This window comes from Homo sapiens, chromosome 3, assembly GCF_000001405.40.
Source record: "Homo sapiens chromosome 3, GRCh38.p14 Primary Assembly".
NCBI classification, from domain to species: Eukaryota; Metazoa; Chordata; class Mammalia; order Primates; family Hominidae; genus Homo; species Homo sapiens.
The window spans coordinates 169219423-169240221 of NC_000003.12; the positions used below are offsets into that span (position 1 = coordinate 169219423).

The following is a 20799-nucleotide window of genomic DNA, read 5'->3' on the forward strand; positions in this document are numbered from 1 at the left end:
CCTGAACCTGGGAGGCGGAGCTTGCAGTGAGCCAAGATGGCGCCACTGCACTCCAGCCTGGGCGACAGAGCGAGACTCCGTCTTAAAAACAAAACAGAACAAAACAAAAACTTAATGAGATCATTCCTAGGTTAGAAGGTAAACTTATAGCTAACTTTCTTCTTGGCAAAAAATCAGGATGCTATATATACACCACTATATATTTGAGCACACACATGTAGCTACATATGTAGGGGTGGGTGTGTGGTGTAGAAGGAGTGAGAGAAAGTCTGTCACACTTGCATGCCCAAATCCACTGTCATCATAAATTTAAATTACATATATAGGTGTGTGTATATATATAATGGTATATATATATTATATACATTAGTTTGCTATATATAATAATAGCATGTGTATATATATATAAAATCATCCTAATTTTTTATCAAGAATACAGTTAACTATAAGTTTACCTCCTAACCTAGGAACCATCTCATTAAGTTTTTTTAAAGGATCTAATATATATATTATTCTAATATGTATAATTCTAATATATAATATATTCCAATTATATACATTTTAACAAATATAAATATAAGTAAATAAATATACATTTTCTAACTATATAGTTAGAAAATAAGACTGGGCACGGTGGCTCATGCCTGCAATCCCAACACTTAAGAAAGCTGAGGCAGGTGGATCACTTGAGTTTAGGAGTTCAAGATGAGTCTGGGTAATACAATGAAACCCTGTCTCTCCAAAAAAATACAAAAAAATTATCCAGGCATGGTGGTGCACACTGGTAGTACAGCTACCTGGGAAGGCTGAGGTGAGAGGATCACCTGGGAGGCAGAGGCTGCCTGCAGTGAGCTGTTTAGTCCAGCCAGAGTGAAACTCTGTCTCAAAAACAAGCAAAAAGAAAAGAAAAGAACACTTACTTGCTTCTTTTCTCAAATATTGCCTTTTCAGTGAGACCTCCCTTACCTAAAATTTCTACCTGTTCCTCCCACCTGCTAACACTTCATATTCCTCTTACCTGCTTTATTTTATCTTTCTTGCATTTAATTTTATTTTTATTATTATTTTTTGAGATGGAGTCTCCCTCTATCACCCAGACTGGAGTGCAGTAGCTCGATTTTGGCTCACTGCAACCTCCGCCTCCCAGGTTCTAGCGATTCTCCTGCCCCAGCCCCCCAAGTAGCTAGGATTACAGGTGCCCACCACCACGCCCAGCTAATTTTTGTATTTTTAGTAGAGACGGGATTTCTCCATGTTGGCTAGGCTGGTCTCAAACTCCTGACATCAGGTGATCCACCCACCTGGGTCTTCCAAAATGCTGGGATTACAGGCTTAAGCCACCGTGCCTGCCAATAAGCTACACTTTTTTCTTAACTTTTTTATTGTCTTTTCTCACCAGTAGAAGAGAAAGACCATAAGGGCAGGAATTTTTGTCTGTCTTGTTGACTAGTGTATTTCCTGAGGCTCGAACAATATCCGGCGCATAGTTGGGGCTTAAAAATCATTTGCTAAATCAATGAATAAAGGAAGGAAGGAAAGTAGGAAGAAAATCGAAGAAGAAGATTAGGGAAAGGCACTCTATACAATAATGTTTAAAGATGTAATTCTAGAATCAGGCTGTTTGGATTTAAAATCCATCTATGCCTTGTATTGGTTGCATAACCTTAAGCAAGCTACTTACACTCTCTTCTTTTTCTCATCTGTAAAATGGGCAAATACTGGAACTATCTTGCAGTGTTGCAAAGATTAACTAAAGTAATCCTTACATAGAATTTAGCATCATTTTTGAAACAATATGCAGTAAACAAATGTTAACTAATAGTATCATCATCATCTTCTTCTTCACCAGAACTATCACCTTTGTCCTAATTTTATGAGGCTAACATTAGATAACAGTCATTAATGGTTATTTTTAAATACTTCGGTAACATTTTGGAGTAAACTCAGAAATTATTTCAATTTCCCTTTACATACTTCTATCTGGCTACACAATTACCCTAGCATCCAAAAATAATTGTTTCCTGCCTTCCCACCTTCTTTTGTGAAAGAGTGTGAATTGTGTGCCCAGTTACCTTTAGCCCCCTTGGACCCATGGGCTTTTTGCTGTACTCAAGAGCACAGCTTTTGGAGACGTAAAGAGATGTTAAAAAAAAAAAAAAAAGCCAGTGGCAGCTCCTGGAAGTCACTCTGGTCTGGTTTTGAATGGGTTGGGCTAAGTGATCACTAAGAATTCATCTGGCTGTCAAATCTCACAACTTTTGGCTGACGTGTCCTTCAGGAAAAGGGCAGCAAGAACTGGTAAAATAGAAAAAAAATCACTTAAATTGCTTGCATTCATTTATTCATTATCTACGTATCCACTTCATTCACTCGTTTATGCATCACTTGCTTCTAAATATTTTTACCCTGTCCAAAAGGCATTATGATGATACAAAGGTAAATCAGACTTCAGCTCTGTCACCAGGTAGTTTGGCCTTTCCACTATGGCACCAATGAAAGGCAGACTAGATACCTGAAGGAAATGCTTTTTTGTTGTTGTTTTCTGATATTCTAGTCTTACATTATAGTTGCGCCATCATGTCACTATTTAAATTTTAATTACTTAAAATTATCATTTCCGTAGATCACTAGCTATGTTTCAAGTGCTCAATAGCCACATGTGGCTAGAGGCTACCTTACTGGAGAACACAGACAGAGAACATTCCCATCGTCACAGAAAGTTCTATGGGTCAGTGCTGTGCCACAGAATATGAGTTACTCATCAATTTATAAGTGGTAAATTATTTTCTGAGGTCCAACATAATCTGATATTAGCTAGCTAATTAAAGCAAACTTAATTGAAATGGCAAACAATAATCATTAGCAGAGATTCAGAATTAGTTTAAAGGTAGCTATGGTTTCGAAATTAATTCCAAACACTGGCTGCCCTCAGTACCTTGTTACAGCCTCTTATTCCTGCCATTAGACAACAGTGAAGCCCACATATGGTGCCCTGACTGGTCACATGATTTTTTAATATCCACATGATGGCACTAAAATGGCCTATTAGATTTACAGTGTCATTAACTTTCCAAAATAAAAATGAGAGTCTGCTCTGGCAGCGGGGAAAAAAAGTGTGAGTGCTGTTGGGTTTTGGGTAACCAGTCTATGAGGAAATGCTGACAGGGGTCAGTGTGACATCATCTTTCATTCAGCCCCAAAGCTGTCAGGCCCTCCCCAGATGTCTGAAACGCAGATATAAATTTTCATTATCCAGCAGCAAAGGGCCAGAGGTACACCAAATGAATTTTTTACCAATCAAATTATAGCTCATTGCCAGATTAAGTGTAAACACTAATTTTGTGAAGTTTTCTTCTGGTCATTTATCTCCAACTCCACAAAGTAACCTTGCTGAAGCTGGAAAGACTTCTAGATCAAATTATCATTTTCATAATCTTGTTGCAGACACTGCAAAATTGAATAAAAGGAAATTCCATTAATAATGAACGGTGCCTTCTTTCATGGAACAATTAGATTTTTTTCACATTTTCTAAAAGAAAATGCAAAGTGAGGAAATACTAAGGGATCACAGAAGAACCATTCTGGACCTCAGTTTCCCCATCTATAAAATGGTGAGACTGGATACAGTAATCGCTAATTCTGTGGTATAAGAATGACTCTAAGTATCTCTGCTTTCATACTGGCAAATTTCATTTTCAAAGTCCTATATTTTTTTTTTTACTATATGTTAAGTTCTAGGGTACATGTGCACAACATGCAGGTTTGTTACATATGTATACATGTGCCATGTTGGTGTGCTGCACCCGTTGACTCGTCATTTACATTAGGTATATCTCCTAATGCTATCCCTCCCCCCTCCCCCCTCCCCCCACCCCACAACAGGCCCCATTGTGTGATGTTCCCCACCCTGTGTCCAAGTGTTCTCATTGTTCAATTCCCACCTATGAGTGAGAACATGTGGTGTTTGGTTTTCTGTCCTTGTGATAGTTTGCTCAGAATGATGGTTTCTAGCTTCATCCATGTCCCTACAAAGGACATGAACTCATCCTTTTTTATGGCTGCATAGTATTTCAAAGTCCTATATTTTTAACAGGAGGTTTGAAGATAAAGTAACTTCCAATTAAAAAATGTGATAGGTTATAAAGTTCAACTGTGTATTTATTGCTGGGAAATTAGAACTCATTTCTTGGAGTTAGAACCCTGGGAAATAATGTGACAAATGGTATAGTTTGTCCTAGTTCTACTTTAATGTAAAAAGAATTACAGTTATACTATAATAGAACAAATACTCTATTATTGATAGTAATAGTACTACAATATCCAACCACTTGATTTAACAGTATGTACATAGGAAAAGGTATTCATGCTTTACTCTGAAAGTCAGAAACTCCATCTCCTCTGATTTGGACCGTGAGCCCCTCTATTCTTCCTCAAGTTCCAAGCCACTAGTAGTGACTCCCATGACCTCAGGTGGAACCTCCTGTAGGTTAAGTGCCTGGCCAAGAGAAGCAGAGCAACCTGGAACTCCTGCCATTATTAAACCCCAAAAGCTCTTCACAAGAAAAGGAAGAGTGCTTCAGAATTTTTTTCTGAGCCACTGGAATACTCTAGTTGACTACCGTGCCCTAGGTTTTTTCTATGCCCCACTGACGGGGGTGCCTTTCATCTAGGATATGGTGTGGTATCGATACTAAGGAGTATGATGGGGAGCTTTCTAGAGGGTAAGAGAGAAAATAATCTGAGAGGAGATAGAGAACGTCAGCTCCTGCTGGGCCCATTTCAAGCCTTCCTTCCCATCTGCCCTTCATCACCAACAATACTGTTACTGTGTTCTAAAGGGGCCAAGGAGTATCTGTGGAAGAACAAAGGCCTGGCAGTGATAGAGCATGCAATACTGGCTAAGTGGATGGAAATTCAAAGCAATGGCAAGAAGAAGTCTTGATTAAGCTGCAGTGGTCATCCAACACAACGTAAACCCAAATGAGTTGTTTTGGTGTTTGAATGGCTTGAGGGGGATGCCATGGCTTCCTAGGGTTCTCAAAACGCAGCCCCAACACTTTCCCAGGCCACTGTCACCCACATATAGAAAAGTACAGTGCTATCCTGAGTCTATCACTTCAGTGGAATATCCTTTCCTTCAGTCATCATCTTCAGCTACCCAGTAAACCTCACAGTAAAAACTGAGTGGCCATTGGGGATGGGAAGAAGGGAAAGAAATAATTCTCCAGTTTTCACAAATACTGAGATAGCTCATTGTTTGTAGTGTGACTTAATTTTTGAATAGTTGGCCTGAGTTTAAAATGTATGGCATTCATTATCCACCAGGGACTGAGAAGCAAGGCAAGGGGGCCCGTAGAGAATCAAGAAACCTGAAAAGCCCCATGGGCTGTAAGACCATCCAGCACTTGGCTAACAGTGCAACAATCTGTTGAGTCGAGCATAAACGAAGGATACAAATTAGATTTCCCCTGAAAGCCACAAGATTAAACATTAGGGGGCAAGTTCTTGGCAAAATGTATGTGTGTATTTTCCAAAACCAATCTTTTTTAAAAAAATTCACAAAGTCTGCTAAATACATTGGTCAGATTTTTCTCATACTTAAATATTTACCTAACTTAAAGAAACGTGATTTTCAGGTATGTCAAAGCAGAGATGATATTGATAATGCTAACCAATTTATTGATCCAGAGGGCTCCAAAATGAGTTTTATAGAGAATATATTTAGTATCATTATGTGAATTTTAGCATAAGATCTACTTAACTATGTAATAATAAAAATATAGACACTATGAGAAAAATGTTAAATGCATCCTAAATACAAGTGGAGAGCTATTCGGATTTTATGTTCAATATCCCATAGTCTATTAAGAACTAATGTTAGTTAAGTAGAGATTCTGCTGCCCTGGCTGCTTAGAGGGACATGTCTGGACTTGACCATATCCAAACCAATGGGGATAGAGTGGTTTGAGGTGGGCCAAGGAGAGTCAGGATGATTATTTGTGACTTTTGAAGCACATATGAGAAAAGAAACCCTGTCTTATCAAGGACTGGTGATCTTAGCTGTATCTTCTCTCAAAACACCCTACACCAAATTCAAAAACAGGGCCCATACCCAAAGATATTCTATTCTACTTTCTTTTCTTGCTGACAAAGATGAAATATTAGGCAGCTCGTCCTAAGACCCTTATTTGTTTGCTTGTTTGTTTTTACACTGTCTTGCTCTGTCGTCCAGGCTGGAGTGCAGTGGTGCGATCTCAGCTCACCGCAACCTGTGCCTCCTGGGTTCAAGTGATTCTTCTGCCTCAGCCTCCTGCGTAGCTGGGACTACAGGCATGCACCACCACGCCTGGATAATTTTTGTATTTTTAGTAAATAGGGGCTTTCACCATATTGACCAGGCTGGTCTCGAAATCCTGACATCGTGATCCGCCTGCCTCGGCCTCCCAAAGTGCTGGGATTACAGGCGTGAGCCACCATGCCCAGCCAAGACCCTTGCTTTAAGGGCCACAGACTGGTGCGGGAAATAAGCAACCCACAAAGAGAATGGCCCAAAAACTATCTGTGAGGTAGAAGAAGAGAAATCAGCAAAGGACTCCTTATTTTATTACATAAACTTCCATTGTCTCTTTAACATTCTTTAACTTAACAAATAATTTCTGAGCACGTCCCCATCTTGCCTAACCTAGATGGTCATTTATCTCCTTGTTCTCTTCAAAGTATTCTCTCACCACCCCTGCCTCACACTTCTTTTTTAATGCTGGTGCAAAGAGGTAAAATAAATATTATGGGTAACCCTGGATGCATTAAAGGTAACCTTGAACACTACTGTTAGTCTTCATTATATCTAATATCACCTGAATAAAAAAAGAATAAGAGTAGAAGTGGAGTGTGAGTTTCCACAGGACCTATAGTCCCTCAGAATAAGTTTTTCTAACTATTATAGAGATGAATAAAGGAATTTATAATAACTGTATATGAAGTATTTTATCTATTTAAACTTTGTGAATTACGTATTATGAATTTCATAAACTGTAACAATACATCTTTTCTGGAACTTCTCCACATTGGTTCTAGGTCTGGAGATGATATTTATCAAATATTTACTATGGGCGAAGGAAGTACAGTTATTCTCCCCGTTTTATTTATGAGAAAATCAAGTGACAACTTGCCCAAGGTCCTAAAACCAACACCATAACACGGAATTAAAACTAGATTTGTTTCCCTTTAGACATCTATATAAAATGTAGATGTATTCTCTTTGTTCAAGAGATTATAAACAATGATCAATAATGGAAAGGGGAATCAAAGGAGTTCTTCAGGTTTCACTTACAGAGGTCTTACATAAAGTGCTTATCAACTGGAAGGAATTTAACTGACTGTGCTGAATCTCAGAACTTCATTAAAAGCAGTTCTATTTCTCCCATGTATGGAAGAAAATTTTGCTTTTGTTTTTTGTATACAGGGCAATGGCAGGAGAATCTCTGAAATCATTTGATTTGAGAGTAGATGTTCATAGGCTATAAAAGGAAATCCTTGCCCTATGTTTAAGAGGTGTCTAACTTCACCCATCTTTAGTTTTTTCATTGTGTGACCTTAGGCAAGTCATTGGCTGGACACCACAGCTTCCTTTTGTGAAAAAGGAATCTTCGGGCAATTTAGTCAAACTCACTATTTTATAAAATAGTCATGGTGATGGATTTCTAGAGAAAGGTGAGAGCAGGCCCAGATTGTACACAGTACTAATATTAGCAAGAGCTCACTAATGGGAAAAAGGACTAGATCATTTTTACAGAACAACAAAATAAATATAAACATCTTACCATCTGAGAAAAAGCAAAATAAAATACATACTTTCTTCATAATATTTTGATTATAAAATATACCCAGAGAGAGAGAGAGCAGGTACACATATAAATAAATTCTGAATATCATAATCCTTACTTTTAAAATTCTGTCTCCTACCTGTTGTAATTTTGGTATAATATCCTATTTTTCCTACACCAGAAATTTATTTGCTAAATGCCCTATAGAGTAAATGTTTCTGAGAATTCTGTATAGATTTTCTTTTCTCTGTATCAGATCATAAGGATTGGTAGGTATCAGTGGGATTTGTTTTCTGGTTATGGGGACAGAGATCTCATGAACAGGCTTTGACCCCAACCATCTACCACAAAGTAGCACATTTGAGCTAAACCTTTGCCTTTCCTGAATGGCAGGCTGGACACAAACTTTTGCCCAAGAAATGCGTTGGAAAGGGGGAATGGGTGAAAAGTCATTGATATAGATGCAGAACTGTGCAAATCATGGAATAAAATGCTTGTTTTAAAAAGGAAACAAGATTAGAAAAATGACAACATTTCAAGAGGCACATTCAAGATGTGTTTTCAGAAGTGGGAATCAGCACATAGGAGGCAGGAGGGCAGCATGACCAAACTTGGGATTTTGTTGCTGTGAAAGTGAGCCCAAAACAAAGGGTGGGTATGGAGCAGTGTCCCTGATGGGAACCATTGTTTTCTCATCCGAAAGTCTTTCTCCCACAGCCCAAGAACAATTGAGACAAATACATTCAAAGGTCAACAGAACAGACAATGCTGGGAACGCCAGAGAACCTAGTAGCTAGCCCTGTGCTCTCATCACAACAGACGGAACCAACAACAGCCCAAGTAGCTACAAGCAATCTGATTACAACAGCCTTGCAGCGTTCCTGAGCAGTTTCTGTGGTTTATACTGAGTTCCTCCTCTACTGTAGTCTGTGCCGCAAATCTACCACAGATTTGGCTAAACAGATGATTTTCTTAAAAAGAATTATCTCTGGTGGTTTTGCCATATTCCGGGCAATACTATACTAAACAGTCATAATGGAAATACTAGCACAAGACCTGTTTTTTCTAAGCTCAGTGCAATATCTGCTGCCACTTGAATTTGATCATTTAAAGTCACTCATGATGCAGGCGTATGTTACGATCAAAGACTAAAAAGGAACTGCAAAGCAGGAGAGGACAGATGACCATGCTTTTATAAACTACAGTTTATGCAAAAACCAGTTTTTCACGGGGCTTTAAAAAAGGGGAGTTGTATTTTCGTGAGACTACAGTAGACTTTTTCAAGAAAGTAGTGTATTAAAAATAAAAACAGGATAAAAATAGAAAAGAAATTTATGAAGGAAATTCAGAGATGTGATTATAACATCACATTAATGACATTACAATTAACCTCAAAGGCATTTCCATGCAAACTTCCCCTTCCAACGTAAGTCACTCCAGCCAAGGAATAATCCTGTCAGGCTGAAATACTGCATACTTGGTGTGAGTCTAAAAGTGTTTCGGCTTTCTTCATTTTGTTTTTATTGCCAAGTTGGACAGCATTAGACGGAGCTGTTCTGGAGTTAGAAGGATACAATAGTCTGCAGTTTTAAAAGTTTAAGGCTTTTTATGCTTTTAACTCAAACACACCTTTTAAATCCCAAATTGGGCCACTCTTGGAGCTCACTGTATGCACTGATATTTTGGCTCACTGGGTGTGATAACAATGGACACAGTGAAGATGTTATTCAAAGCTTTTAAAATAAAACACAAAAACACTTGATAAAATAATGCTGATTATATGGCCCAAGCTTTTCACACTCACATATACATGAGTGTTAACTGCACTGGCTTGGAAACACTGGTTCTGGCTTTCTAGTCAATGGTCCGTTTACTTACAGTAAAATCTTCCAGAGGGGTTCCATAAAAATCTGCTCTGCTGTAAAGAAAAGGCCAACCTTACCAACTCCTTATACAGGAACTGAAGAGATTCCTTAGGCCTGTTGGGACTGTGATTAAGTTTAGCTAGAAAGTGCCATCCACGCATGTGAGATGGTTGGTGACTACCAAACGGGCAAGTGGAGAGGCAGCCAGCAGACACCAAATAAGTCACAAGAGCATCTCAACTAAAATTTCTGAACCCAAAGGCTTATGAGACTGAGAAATTATATTCTCTGGTCAGTCATGAAACTTGCTGCTTGGTCTTCTGATCAGAGTTTCCAGGGACTGGCAAGGCTTAATCTTAAATCCATGGAGGGGCCGAGGTTACTATCCTGGGTCAGTGATGGTCACTAGCCAGGGAGTTAGGTGAGGGTCCTTAGAGATGAAAGAGGCCCATTGAGCTGAATGAGGTCTGGATTCTGGTTGTGAATTCTGTTTCTACTACTTTCAATGGCCCTGGTCCCCTCCTGCAGGTCATTTTTAAAAGCTAAGCCCAAAGTATCTGAGTGGCTTGGATAAGGTGGCTACTGTGAATATGCCCTCAAGATAGCACTCATGAGTGTGAGATTCTCTGCACTTCAGAAGCCTCTACAACCAGGTGCTATTATGCTTTAAAACACACTAATATAAGAGACTATGATTTCCTAATCAGTTTCATGGGTTATTTCTCTATTCTTTCAGCTACAATGTTTTTTCATGTCATAATATAATGTGGGTAAAAAATACTTGCAACATCAAGTTGATTAAACCAAAATAAAACTAAACAAAGAAAATTCCAAATAAAGGAAGATTAAAAATGCCAAACAGCAGACTTAATTGCATTTTTGAGTTATCTTTCTTTACTCCAATGTCAAGGAAGAATACTTCAGGGGGCTATTTAGGGATAATACTTGAATATACAAATACTCTCTTTGGATTTACTTCTATGTTTACAAAAAATTTCTCAGGTGTCTTGAGGCAGCTACCTCTTCTCATAAGCCACTAACTCCTATGTTCACCTCATTTCCCTCCAGGCCAGAACTTTGAGACCTCTGTCTACCATCTTGGCTTTTCTCTAAATTTCCTCTTTTAGTGCCAAAAAGAAAAAAAAAAGGTTCTGGATTGCAAGTTCCCTTTATCAACTTAGCCAGCTTTTTTCTTTCTTGAGATACATGGGATATGAAGCATCTTGCCTCCTTGATGTTATAATAATGCAGTGATTTCAACTTATACAGCTGACCTTAGCTTTTCTTTGAGATACCAGGTTAAAAGTGGGCAGATTTTATAAATAGGCCAGTCTTCCTAATGGAAGTTTGAATGTATCTCCAAGATACCAGTTCATTATGACTTAATTCTCGATTTTGTTATTGATTTATTAAAAAGATGCATAACAAGTATCTTTTAAATATCAAGCTCTAAAGTAAGTTTTCTCCTCTGAACTCCAACTCACACATATAACTATTTTCTGAAATGGTTTAATTCTGCTCTGAAAGAACCCACAGCAGTAGGAATAATAGGTTTAGCCTCAAGATTTCTGCTGAAGAGCAGAAAAGAGGCTTCTACCTTTCATGGCCCATGGTCTGACTTTTACCCAAGCCTACTTCAATTTTTAAATTTCCTAGATGGTCATTTTGAAGGTCAATCATTGGTTCACTTTCACAATGGAGAAGAATAGTTGCCGCAACATACAGAATTGTTTATCTTGCCCCCATTCCCCTCACATAAGATCTTCAATGGTTCCCCCACTTTATCATAACTTTGTTATTATCAAAATAACAACACAAATAGAAAATATATTGTCTTTTTAACTTTCACTTTTATTAACTTGCCATTCATAGACGTTTGTTTAAATACTCTCTCTTCTCTCATCCTTCATTCATCATAAGAAGCATGCCCTCTACAAAAGATTCCCAAAATATTCTTGGTGGAAATAAAATCTTTGACAATTCTGGATGTTATTGCATCTATAGTCTTGATCTCTCCAATTTCTTACAATTGTAGTCTTTTTCTGTTTTTCCTTTTGTTGTGTCTATTGAATAAAATTGGAAGCTTCTCAAATGTAGTGCATGCATAAAGTAAACATGTTGTTCATTCTTTCATTTATTCACTTTTTCATTCATGCATTCATTCACCCATAAAACATTTATTCAACACCTACTTGCACCAGACACCAGGCTAAATACTGGGGATAAGGAAGTCTACAAGACTCACAAGTTTCTTGACTTTCAGGAACTTATATTCTGGCAGGACAAGAAGGGAGAGGCACATCATAACAAGTAAATGTAAATAAACTAACAAGTTACTTACAACCTATGGTGAGTGAGATGAAGGACATTTTTAAAAAATAGGATGATGAAATTAGGAGAAAAAGAAGTAGGAAACTTCAGACAGCTATAGTCAGCTGTAGTCAGAGAAAACAGCTGTAGTCAGAGAAGTCCCTACTGAGGAAATGATATTTGAGCCAAGACCCAAAAGATGAGAATGAGTCTTCCACACAAAAAGCTAGGGAGAAGCACCCCAGGAAGAGAAATCTTTGAGGAACAGAATAGAAACCAGTATGATGAAGTCATGAAGTGAGTGAGGGGAATATCAGGAGGTGGAAGACAAATCATACATGGTCCCATGACCAGAAAAAAAAAAAAAGTGAATATTATTTCTTAAAGCAAGTTCTCAAGATTTTCTAATTCATTGTTTAATGAAGTAATATGCAAATGTATCTACAGATCCTATATACTTGGTCCAGTTAAGACAGTGTCCCAAAGTTTAGCAGTAGGGGCTTTTACCTTCTAAGCTGTTAGTCCTGAGTCTTTTCAGCATCAAACATTTGAGACTGGATGATGTCACTTTAAGCCATTCTTGTACAAGTTCTAAGCAGCCCAACACCATCATGAATGGTACCCATTGCCCCACCCCAATGCATTAGGCCAGAATAACTGGCCAGCACAGCTAGAAACTCTAAGGAACTTCCAAAGCCTTTTCTCCTTTCTGATCACGTGAGAAGGCATTTAGTCCTATGGTTCTGTGAATTTCTCACGTTTCTCTTAAATTCACCTTTTTGAGATATTCTAAACTCTGGTGGGCTTTCTAAAAGATCATACCAAAAATTACCATTTTGAGGCCATTCTACAACAAAAGTGAAAAACGACTTGGACCCAAGAATCATGTCTTTTAAAAATTTCCAGCTCCACCACTGTTACCTATTATTTGCTGTTCTTCCAAGCATGATATAAGCAAACCACAAAAAAAGCTTTTGTTAGGAATCAATTTAATAGCTGAAAGGTTAATCTTAAAAAAGAAAAAAAAAAGGCAGGGAAGGGAGACACATCAAAGAACTTATGTATTGCAACTGGCATAGGAATCACAGCGAGCTGTGAATTTGGAGAGAGTAACATCAGAAACACCAACAAAGAGTTACATGTTTACAGGAAGAAATGAGTTGCAGAGGGAGTATAAGACACTATGGCCCCATTTTACATAGGAATCCAGTAACCATTTGTAAAATATATATATATATATATGTATACACATATTTTTAAGAGGCAGCATGTAAACTATGCTTGTGGTGCAGTTTGAAAATGAGAATTTTTTAAAGTAAAATTCTTGAAAATATTCTTTTTAACCACACCATTCAAAGCTTCAGTGAATATTTGATTCAGGCCCCAAACACTGTATGTTGCCAGTTTTTCTCAGCTTAAACTCTAGTGCCAAGCTGATTTTAACAACCTCTACCTTTATAAGCAGCCTTTTCATGTATATTTACTTGAAAATGGCATCTCAGCCTCTTGTCACCTCATGTTCTCTTCCAGACCATTCACCCAGGTCAGTTTCCTGGCAGGTCCCCAACAAGCAGTTGGGGGTTCTTCGTAGACCGAGCTTGGAGTAATTATGCTCTATAATTGTGGAGTCAGGGCCTGTCTCCCAGTCAGGATTAGAAATGCCAAGTCATTTCCTGTTTTCAAATCCAAAAGAAAGATAGTGACGTCTGATACTGGTTTTCCTATGTTTCAATTATTGTGGGGCAGCCTGGAACTGCCTTTGAAGGATTCTCTTTAGAATACCTGGGTCCCAAACATGGTGCTGTACCAACACCAGAGAATACAGAACATCATCCTAGCTATCTTATTTGATAATTCTTCAGGCTATTTCACCCAAATTGTGGCAATCTGGGTCATGCGGTATCAGAAATGTCATCTGGGGATGAACTACTTCTTGGGTGCTTTGTAGAAACAGGAGGTATATGCAGTAAAATGGGGGTGAAAGACGTTTGGCACATGTTAAAGGGTAAAGCACCTTCTTTTTAATTGTACAGATCCTTGTATTTTACAGCACATTAAACTTTAAAAGGAAAGGTAGCAAAATTGAGCATCTGTTTTTTTCTCATATAAATTCAACTCCTAATAAATACTAAGCAGAGTTTCCTTAGACCCAGTTGTGCGCAGATAAGCAGTTCCATACACACACAACTAATTGCAGCACTCTCTAAAGCTCACTCGACTGTCTTTTTTATTTCTCTGCCAGTGAAACCAGCTTTTAGCAATTGGGTTTTGGGAAAGATGACATCCCAAAAAAGAACCATAGCCAAAATAAACAGGGTTAAGATGGAGAATACTACTAAAATTATTACTGTTTATTCCATACTACAGTACTTTCCATTGTAAAGAGCATGCTGCACCTAAATTCGTCACAGTAACATGATTTTCATGCTGGAAATGAACCTGTGCATGTCTCCCAATTTCCTGACTATGGAGGAGTAAAATATATGTTGCTGCTTATCAGTTTTTTAAATGAATTACCTTTCCATAACCACTTATTTTACTTGAAAGTGACACAAAGTCTATAACATAGTAGATACGGTTACAATATGCCTGTTACATTTTATAGTGACAGCTGTATAACTTTTAAAAAGTGAAATGTAAATGTGTCCCTTCAGGTCAACTTCTTATAGAAATGTTTATGGTATAATTTTATTCAAAGAGAAATATGAGACAGATTTTTTGGAGTGGACACACAATTCCTACCATGGAAAGAATAGAAACAGACCTGAAAAGGCTGAAAAGGTGAGTTTCTGCCCACCCCCACAGAGGTACTCTGTGCCATTCAAGCGATGACCACTGAGAACGATAGCAAGGGTCAGTTGGCCCCTTTCTCTGGTGCTTTCTTTGATTGAAAAAAATCAGTATTTTAGGTTCTATCAAGATTCTTCAGTACTTTTAAGTTAAGCAGATTGAATTGAACCATCCATTTAGTCAATTATGTCATTGAGCAAATGATGGAAAGAGAAAGAAGACTAGAGATAAGGGAGACATATAAAAGCAATTTAAAAAAAGGGAAGAAAAGGGAAATAAAAGAAAAAAGAAAGAAGGGAAAAAAGAAAAAGGAAAGGAATAGCCATGTATTATAGATTTTTAGCTGATTTAAAAAAAATCTGGTAAACTTACTAAAGAGCCTTCAATAATTTGAGATGGCTAGAGTGATGTGTTTGTGTGCAAATCATTTATTTGCTATTGTGTAAGTTAAAACAGTAGCCCAGCTTCCACTTCTCTTTTGTCATTGGCTGTTATTCCTGGCCATATATTTTACATGTCAACCTGCTCACCATATGTGTACATACTTATGCTTTCTTTGCCACTAATTGCTTCTTTTTTTGACAATACCATCTATATGTGCATAGTATATTGCTGTTTTTATCACTCTAAGCCTATTAATGCCCAGACTTATGGTTCCCAGAGGAATTAAAATTAACCAGCTCTCTAAATATTGTTCATGAGTTGGAAAACTCCTGTATTTTAGAATCTCACTTCAGTTGTTTTTAATTGGTTTGCAATATTTCACCCTTCAGGGCTTGCCCTTAGCTTTTCAAAGTATATATTTGAAAAAATTTATGGGCGTGATATGAAAGGCAAAACTTAGGAAAAATAAACACTTCTTTTGGACAACGACAGTGCTTACGCTATGATTTAAAAGTCCAATTTTATAGTTTGGTAGAGACTAAACTCTTATTGACTTGCCACTGACTTCTATTATCATCAATGTGATTTTTACTTGTAAATAAACCATTCTAATGTGCTCTATGAGAAAAAAAGCACAGGACTCTACATAAAAGCAAATTCTCTTTTGTTGAATTCCTCTTTTTAGAGCTGGAGATCCCTAACCTATCATTCATTTTTTTTTAGTTTGTCATGAAATGTTGCTGTTTATTTCTAGAATATGGAAAGAGACTTCCTTTAAATGCTTGGCTTTTGAAGAATGGTCACTTTGTATGATCCATAAAGCAAATCACTGACAAAATGTCCCTAAGTCCCAAAGAACCATTTATTGTTAATGACAAATGCACATGCATACACACACACACCTCTCACATATGAAAACGTGTTTACTATTCCTGAAAAATAAAAAAGGAGGAATAAATAATAAAAAAGTAAAATTTTTGAGGAATGAAAAATAACCAAATAAATGATATTTCTTATTCTTTAAAATTAAAGTGATAGACTCTATGGATAAATGAAAACATATCTAAATTAGAACTACAGACTTCCCTGTTTCTCTGTTACTAGGGCAGAGGAAAAAGTAATTTTCTTCGCACACACAAAAAAGATAACATAATAGCAATAATATCATATTTATGTAAAACAAGGATCGCTTATGTTTTCATTCTCTTAGTTCCCCAAATGACAAATAATTACTATCTCCCAAATCATAGGTCCTGGAATCAAACCATTTTGCTTAAAAAAAAAAAAAAAGGGACAGACGCTCCTTGACTTATATGATTCAACTTACAACCTTTTTTTTTACTTTATAATGGTCCAGAAAGACACGCATTCAGTAGAAACTGGATTTTTTTGAATTCTGATCTTTTGCTGGGCTAGCTATATGTGGTACAGGGCAGCACCAGCCAGCCACAGCCTCCAGTCAGCCACATGATCACAAGGGCACTGATGGTCTATAGTGTACTGTGTTGCCAGATGATTTTGTCCAACTGCAGGCAAATGTAAGTGTCCTGAGCACATTTAAGGTAGGTTAGGCTAAGCTAGGATATTCAGTAGGTTTGGTGCAGTAAATGCATTTTTTATTTATGCTTTCAACTTATAAAGGGCTTATTGGAACATAAACCCATCTTAAGTGGAGAAGCATCTGTACTATCCAGCACATAAAACTTGGAAAGGATGCCCCCACCATGATATTTCAAAAAGCAACTCTTTCTCATAAGTAAACTTTCTCTTCGAGTGTTGCAATAGAAGTAACTAAAAATGACGTGGTTTTTAATTAATATTTGCTAAACATGAGTAAATGAATACATAAATGAATAAGGGGAGACATAAAACCAGATAGGGTATCAATGTGAAGTCTGTAAGAGAAAAAATCTATTCTCTAATTTTTAAGTAAGTTTTTAACACCTCACATGATCTGCCATGTGTATATTGTGTATATTTCATGCATCTGACAAAAAGAAAAGCCTAGTTAGGATTTCCCAAATTTGGATGTTTTGTATACACCTCGAAGAGCCGTCATCAAAAAAGGGTCACCCTGATTAATGATAATCAATGAATGAAAAGACTCTTTGACTGTATGTAATAGATGCTTTTCTCTGTGAATAAGTAACATATATTTATACAATAACAAGTGGCACGTTATTATTAATTGTGAATTCCAAGGTTAAGAACCTTTGACTTTGTGTGCATGACTATTGAGACACTTCAACGTGCTCAGACATTCAACAAACTCACCACTTGCTTTCATCTGTACTGAGTCTGTCACTTGACTTTTGACCTTTCATTTGGCACTGTCCTGTCATTTCTTTGGTTTCACAAATTTTAGCTTCTTACTTGACCTCTCAACTGTGACCTTTCACTTGACCTATGATCTCATAAATTCTGAAATCTCATACATGTAATCGAGAAACAAATAAACAAAACATCTGGATGAAGCTCTTCCTGAATTAAGTCTGAGTAGATGAAACATAGAACCAAAGGCTTCAGTAAGTAATGTAATATCCACTAGGATAATATGTAAATAGTAGAAAATAAATTTTTTGGGATTGACTAAGATACGGCAAATTATCAAAAGACTCAGCATTAGCTTCTATGAAAATATTTCTTTGGTCACATTAAAAATAACAATATACTAAGTTAGTCTGGTTAAAAATGAAACATCTTCAATGTAATACTGAAATGTAAAATCTTATCCTCAAGCATGAGAGTCAGAACTCTTGTCTGAATAAGTACCAAAGGATTTCACTCAGATAAAGATTGTGTAACTCACTATAGTATTCAATATAAAATTGTTATTTTAAGAGCTAACTGACCACCCTTAGTCACTCATTCTCCACTACAGTTTTATTATTTTTATAGAACTTGTCCCCGTATGAAATAATCTTCCTTTATTGATGTGCTGTCCCTCCCTACTAGAATGCATGCTTCATGAGGGCGACACATATTTCTGCTGTGCTAACTGCAATGTCTCCATCACAAAAAAAAAAAAAAAAAAAAAAAAATGTGGCACTTACTGTTGTTAAATGAACATATTTGTTGACTGAATAAAAGAATGACTATGCTTCCCAAAAATCACTGCATACCTGAACACCAGAGCAAAAATCTAAAGTAAATATACTAGCTAACTTTAAAGTTATATAGTTCACCCATTTTTTAGAAGTCCCATACTATTTAACCATTTAAAATTTATCCTGGATTTTTCTATATTGGTACTTAACTTCACAAATTTTCTTACTCTTTACTATTAAGAAATTATTTTTGGTGCAGGCAGGTTGGCTCACACCTGTAATCCCAGCAATTTGGGAAGTCCAGGCAGGTGGATCACGAGGTAAGGAGTTCAAGACCAGCCTGGCCAGCATGGTGAAACTCCATCTCTACTAAAACTACAAAAATTAGCTGGGTGTGGTGGTAGGTGCCTGTAATTCCAGCTAGTCTGGAGGCTGAGGCAGGAGAATCGCTTGAACCCAGGGGGCAAAGGTTGGAGTGAGCTGAGATCATGCCACTGCACTCCAGCCTGGGTGATGGAGCTAGACTCCATCTCAAAAAAAAAAAAAAAAGAAAAAAGAAAAAAGAAATTATTTTTTCTGACAAAATCAAAGACATCCTCAAAAACTCTCAGATTAACAAATGTTGATAATTAGCCCACAAATGCCAGCTGTAGCATGATTTAAGTCAAACCTCATGCTAATTTGAATATAGTCATGTTTCTTTCAGTAGATGTATGAACTCATATACTAGGAAACTGGTTTAAATTCACAGGAACATGCGAAGAGTTACTGAAACATGAGAGAGCATCAAGTTTGATGTTTTGCTACCTGAAATGACCACAGCAATTTTACTCTTAGGCATAGGCAAGCTAAAATTTACAAGCCCTTCAGATTAATGTAAGGAAGACTCAAACAGGAACCATAAAACCAAACCAAAAAAACCCCACGAACAAACCATTGAATAAAATTATTACTAAATAAAACAATTTGGAGGCAATATCTTCCAAAGGTTTAGCTAAAATATCCCCTGGACTCTCTTATAAAAGTTTGCATAAGGCATAAAGCTGATTCAGATAAACAAATCTGATTAGAAAGTCCACTTTCTCTTAAGATCTCTTATAGAATTCAACTAAGGAAATTTCAGTTTGAATATTAAATTAAAAGTGAGTTTTCACTTTCAAAATGGTGGTAGAAAAACCACTATGAATATATACATCCACTATTTAGTCAGTTAACAAAAGATTATAAACTAACTTACACAAAATATGTATTATGATTAATCCTATAAAATGCTAATACCAATAAACCTAGAATGTCTCATACTTATTTAAATCTTACCTGAATGTATCACATCTTCATCATAATGAGAATCGATAATAATAGATTAACACTATATATTTTTTGAAATGCAGAATAATTCTTGCTTTTTATGGGTTCCAAAATACTTAAAGATATGTTACATGTGAACTGCTATAAAAGTAAATTTTAAATTAATCACAAAACCCTAATTTTCTGACGTCCTCAAGCAAAGTTGAGTAAATTGTTCAGTTTGGCTAAAGCTTGAGGTTCTTTCTTGTTTAATCCTTTTTTCTTAAAGGTAATCAAAATAGTCAGATATGGTACAAATCATTTTGTTGGAGGAGAATTATGCTTGTGGTTTATTTAAATAATGTAATACCAATAAGGAGAACTTTAAAGAATATTAGAGTATTTGAAATATATGGAGAAATAAAAATGGCAACAAAAATATAAAAGAAAATTAAATACAGGAATTATTTTGTAGATACCACTGATATATTGGACATACTAACAATATAATATATTAAGAATAAAATCTAAGTAATAGCTATCAAAAAGAAATGGCTTGAAAAGTTCACATCAAGGGAAACCTATTAACTATTTAGAAATATAAGTTAAAATATATTATAATTGAGATTCAAATAAAAAGTTCTAGACTTCCAGATGAAAATAATATGAGAACTTAAAAAGATATTTATTTTGGGGGGTGTCCTAATAAATAAACTAGCAAGCTTACCATTTCTGTGTCATATCCTACATTAATCTATTAATGTAATCCAAGAAATTGTATTTTTTTCTAAATAAGTAAAGAATAGAAACCTCAGTTACATTTTAAAAATTACAAGGAAATTAGTAACAGAAACAGTTGTAGATGCTGTAAAAAGCAATATGGAAACTTTGAGGCGAAATAGGACAGAGTACCTAATTCCATTGTGTTGATATAACAAAGCCCAGACTTAAAAATAAAAGGTTTGCTGGCTTTACTTATGCTTTAGTTGTAGAAGCTTTTTACTACAAGAATTCAACTGCTGAAGTTCATTTCCTGTCTTTAATTCTAAACGAGCAATTTGCTGATAATTTCCTGTCTACATTTTCATAAAGTAGAAAGAACATGACTGGTTAAGCTAAATGTTTCAATAACCAAATAAACTTCAGCAAGTGTAGTTTAGGAAATTCGACAACTATCTAGAAACTGGTTTTATGATTATAGAATGTCTGAATACCATCTATCTCCCCCAAATGTTTGAAAATATTCTGAAGACCTTTGTGATTGCTTCTTTGACCCCCAGACAAATACAGCAC

General features: G+C 36.4%; 1 protein-coding gene across 15 annotated transcripts in view, besides 1 other annotated feature; it reads right to left on the reverse strand.

Annotated features, from left to right (window-relative positions):
* The window catches only part of MECOM (MDS1 and EVI1 complex locus), a 580206-nt gene that overhangs the window by 135916 nt on the left and 423491 nt on the right, over window positions 1-20799 (reverse strand). The gene's annotated exons all lie outside the window — the stretch shown is intronic.
* Window positions 13439-13733: an enhancer, noted in NCBI's record as "tiled region #14107; HepG2 Activating non-DNase unmatched - State 24:Quies, and K562 Activating non-DNase unmatched - State 6:EnhF". NCBI's record gives its function as "activates a minimal TATA promoter and a strong SV40 promoter by Sharpr-MPRA in HepG2 and K562 cells {active_cell/tissue: HepG2 | K562}" and the evidence as "EXISTENCE:reporter gene assay evidence [ECO:0000049][PMID:27701403]".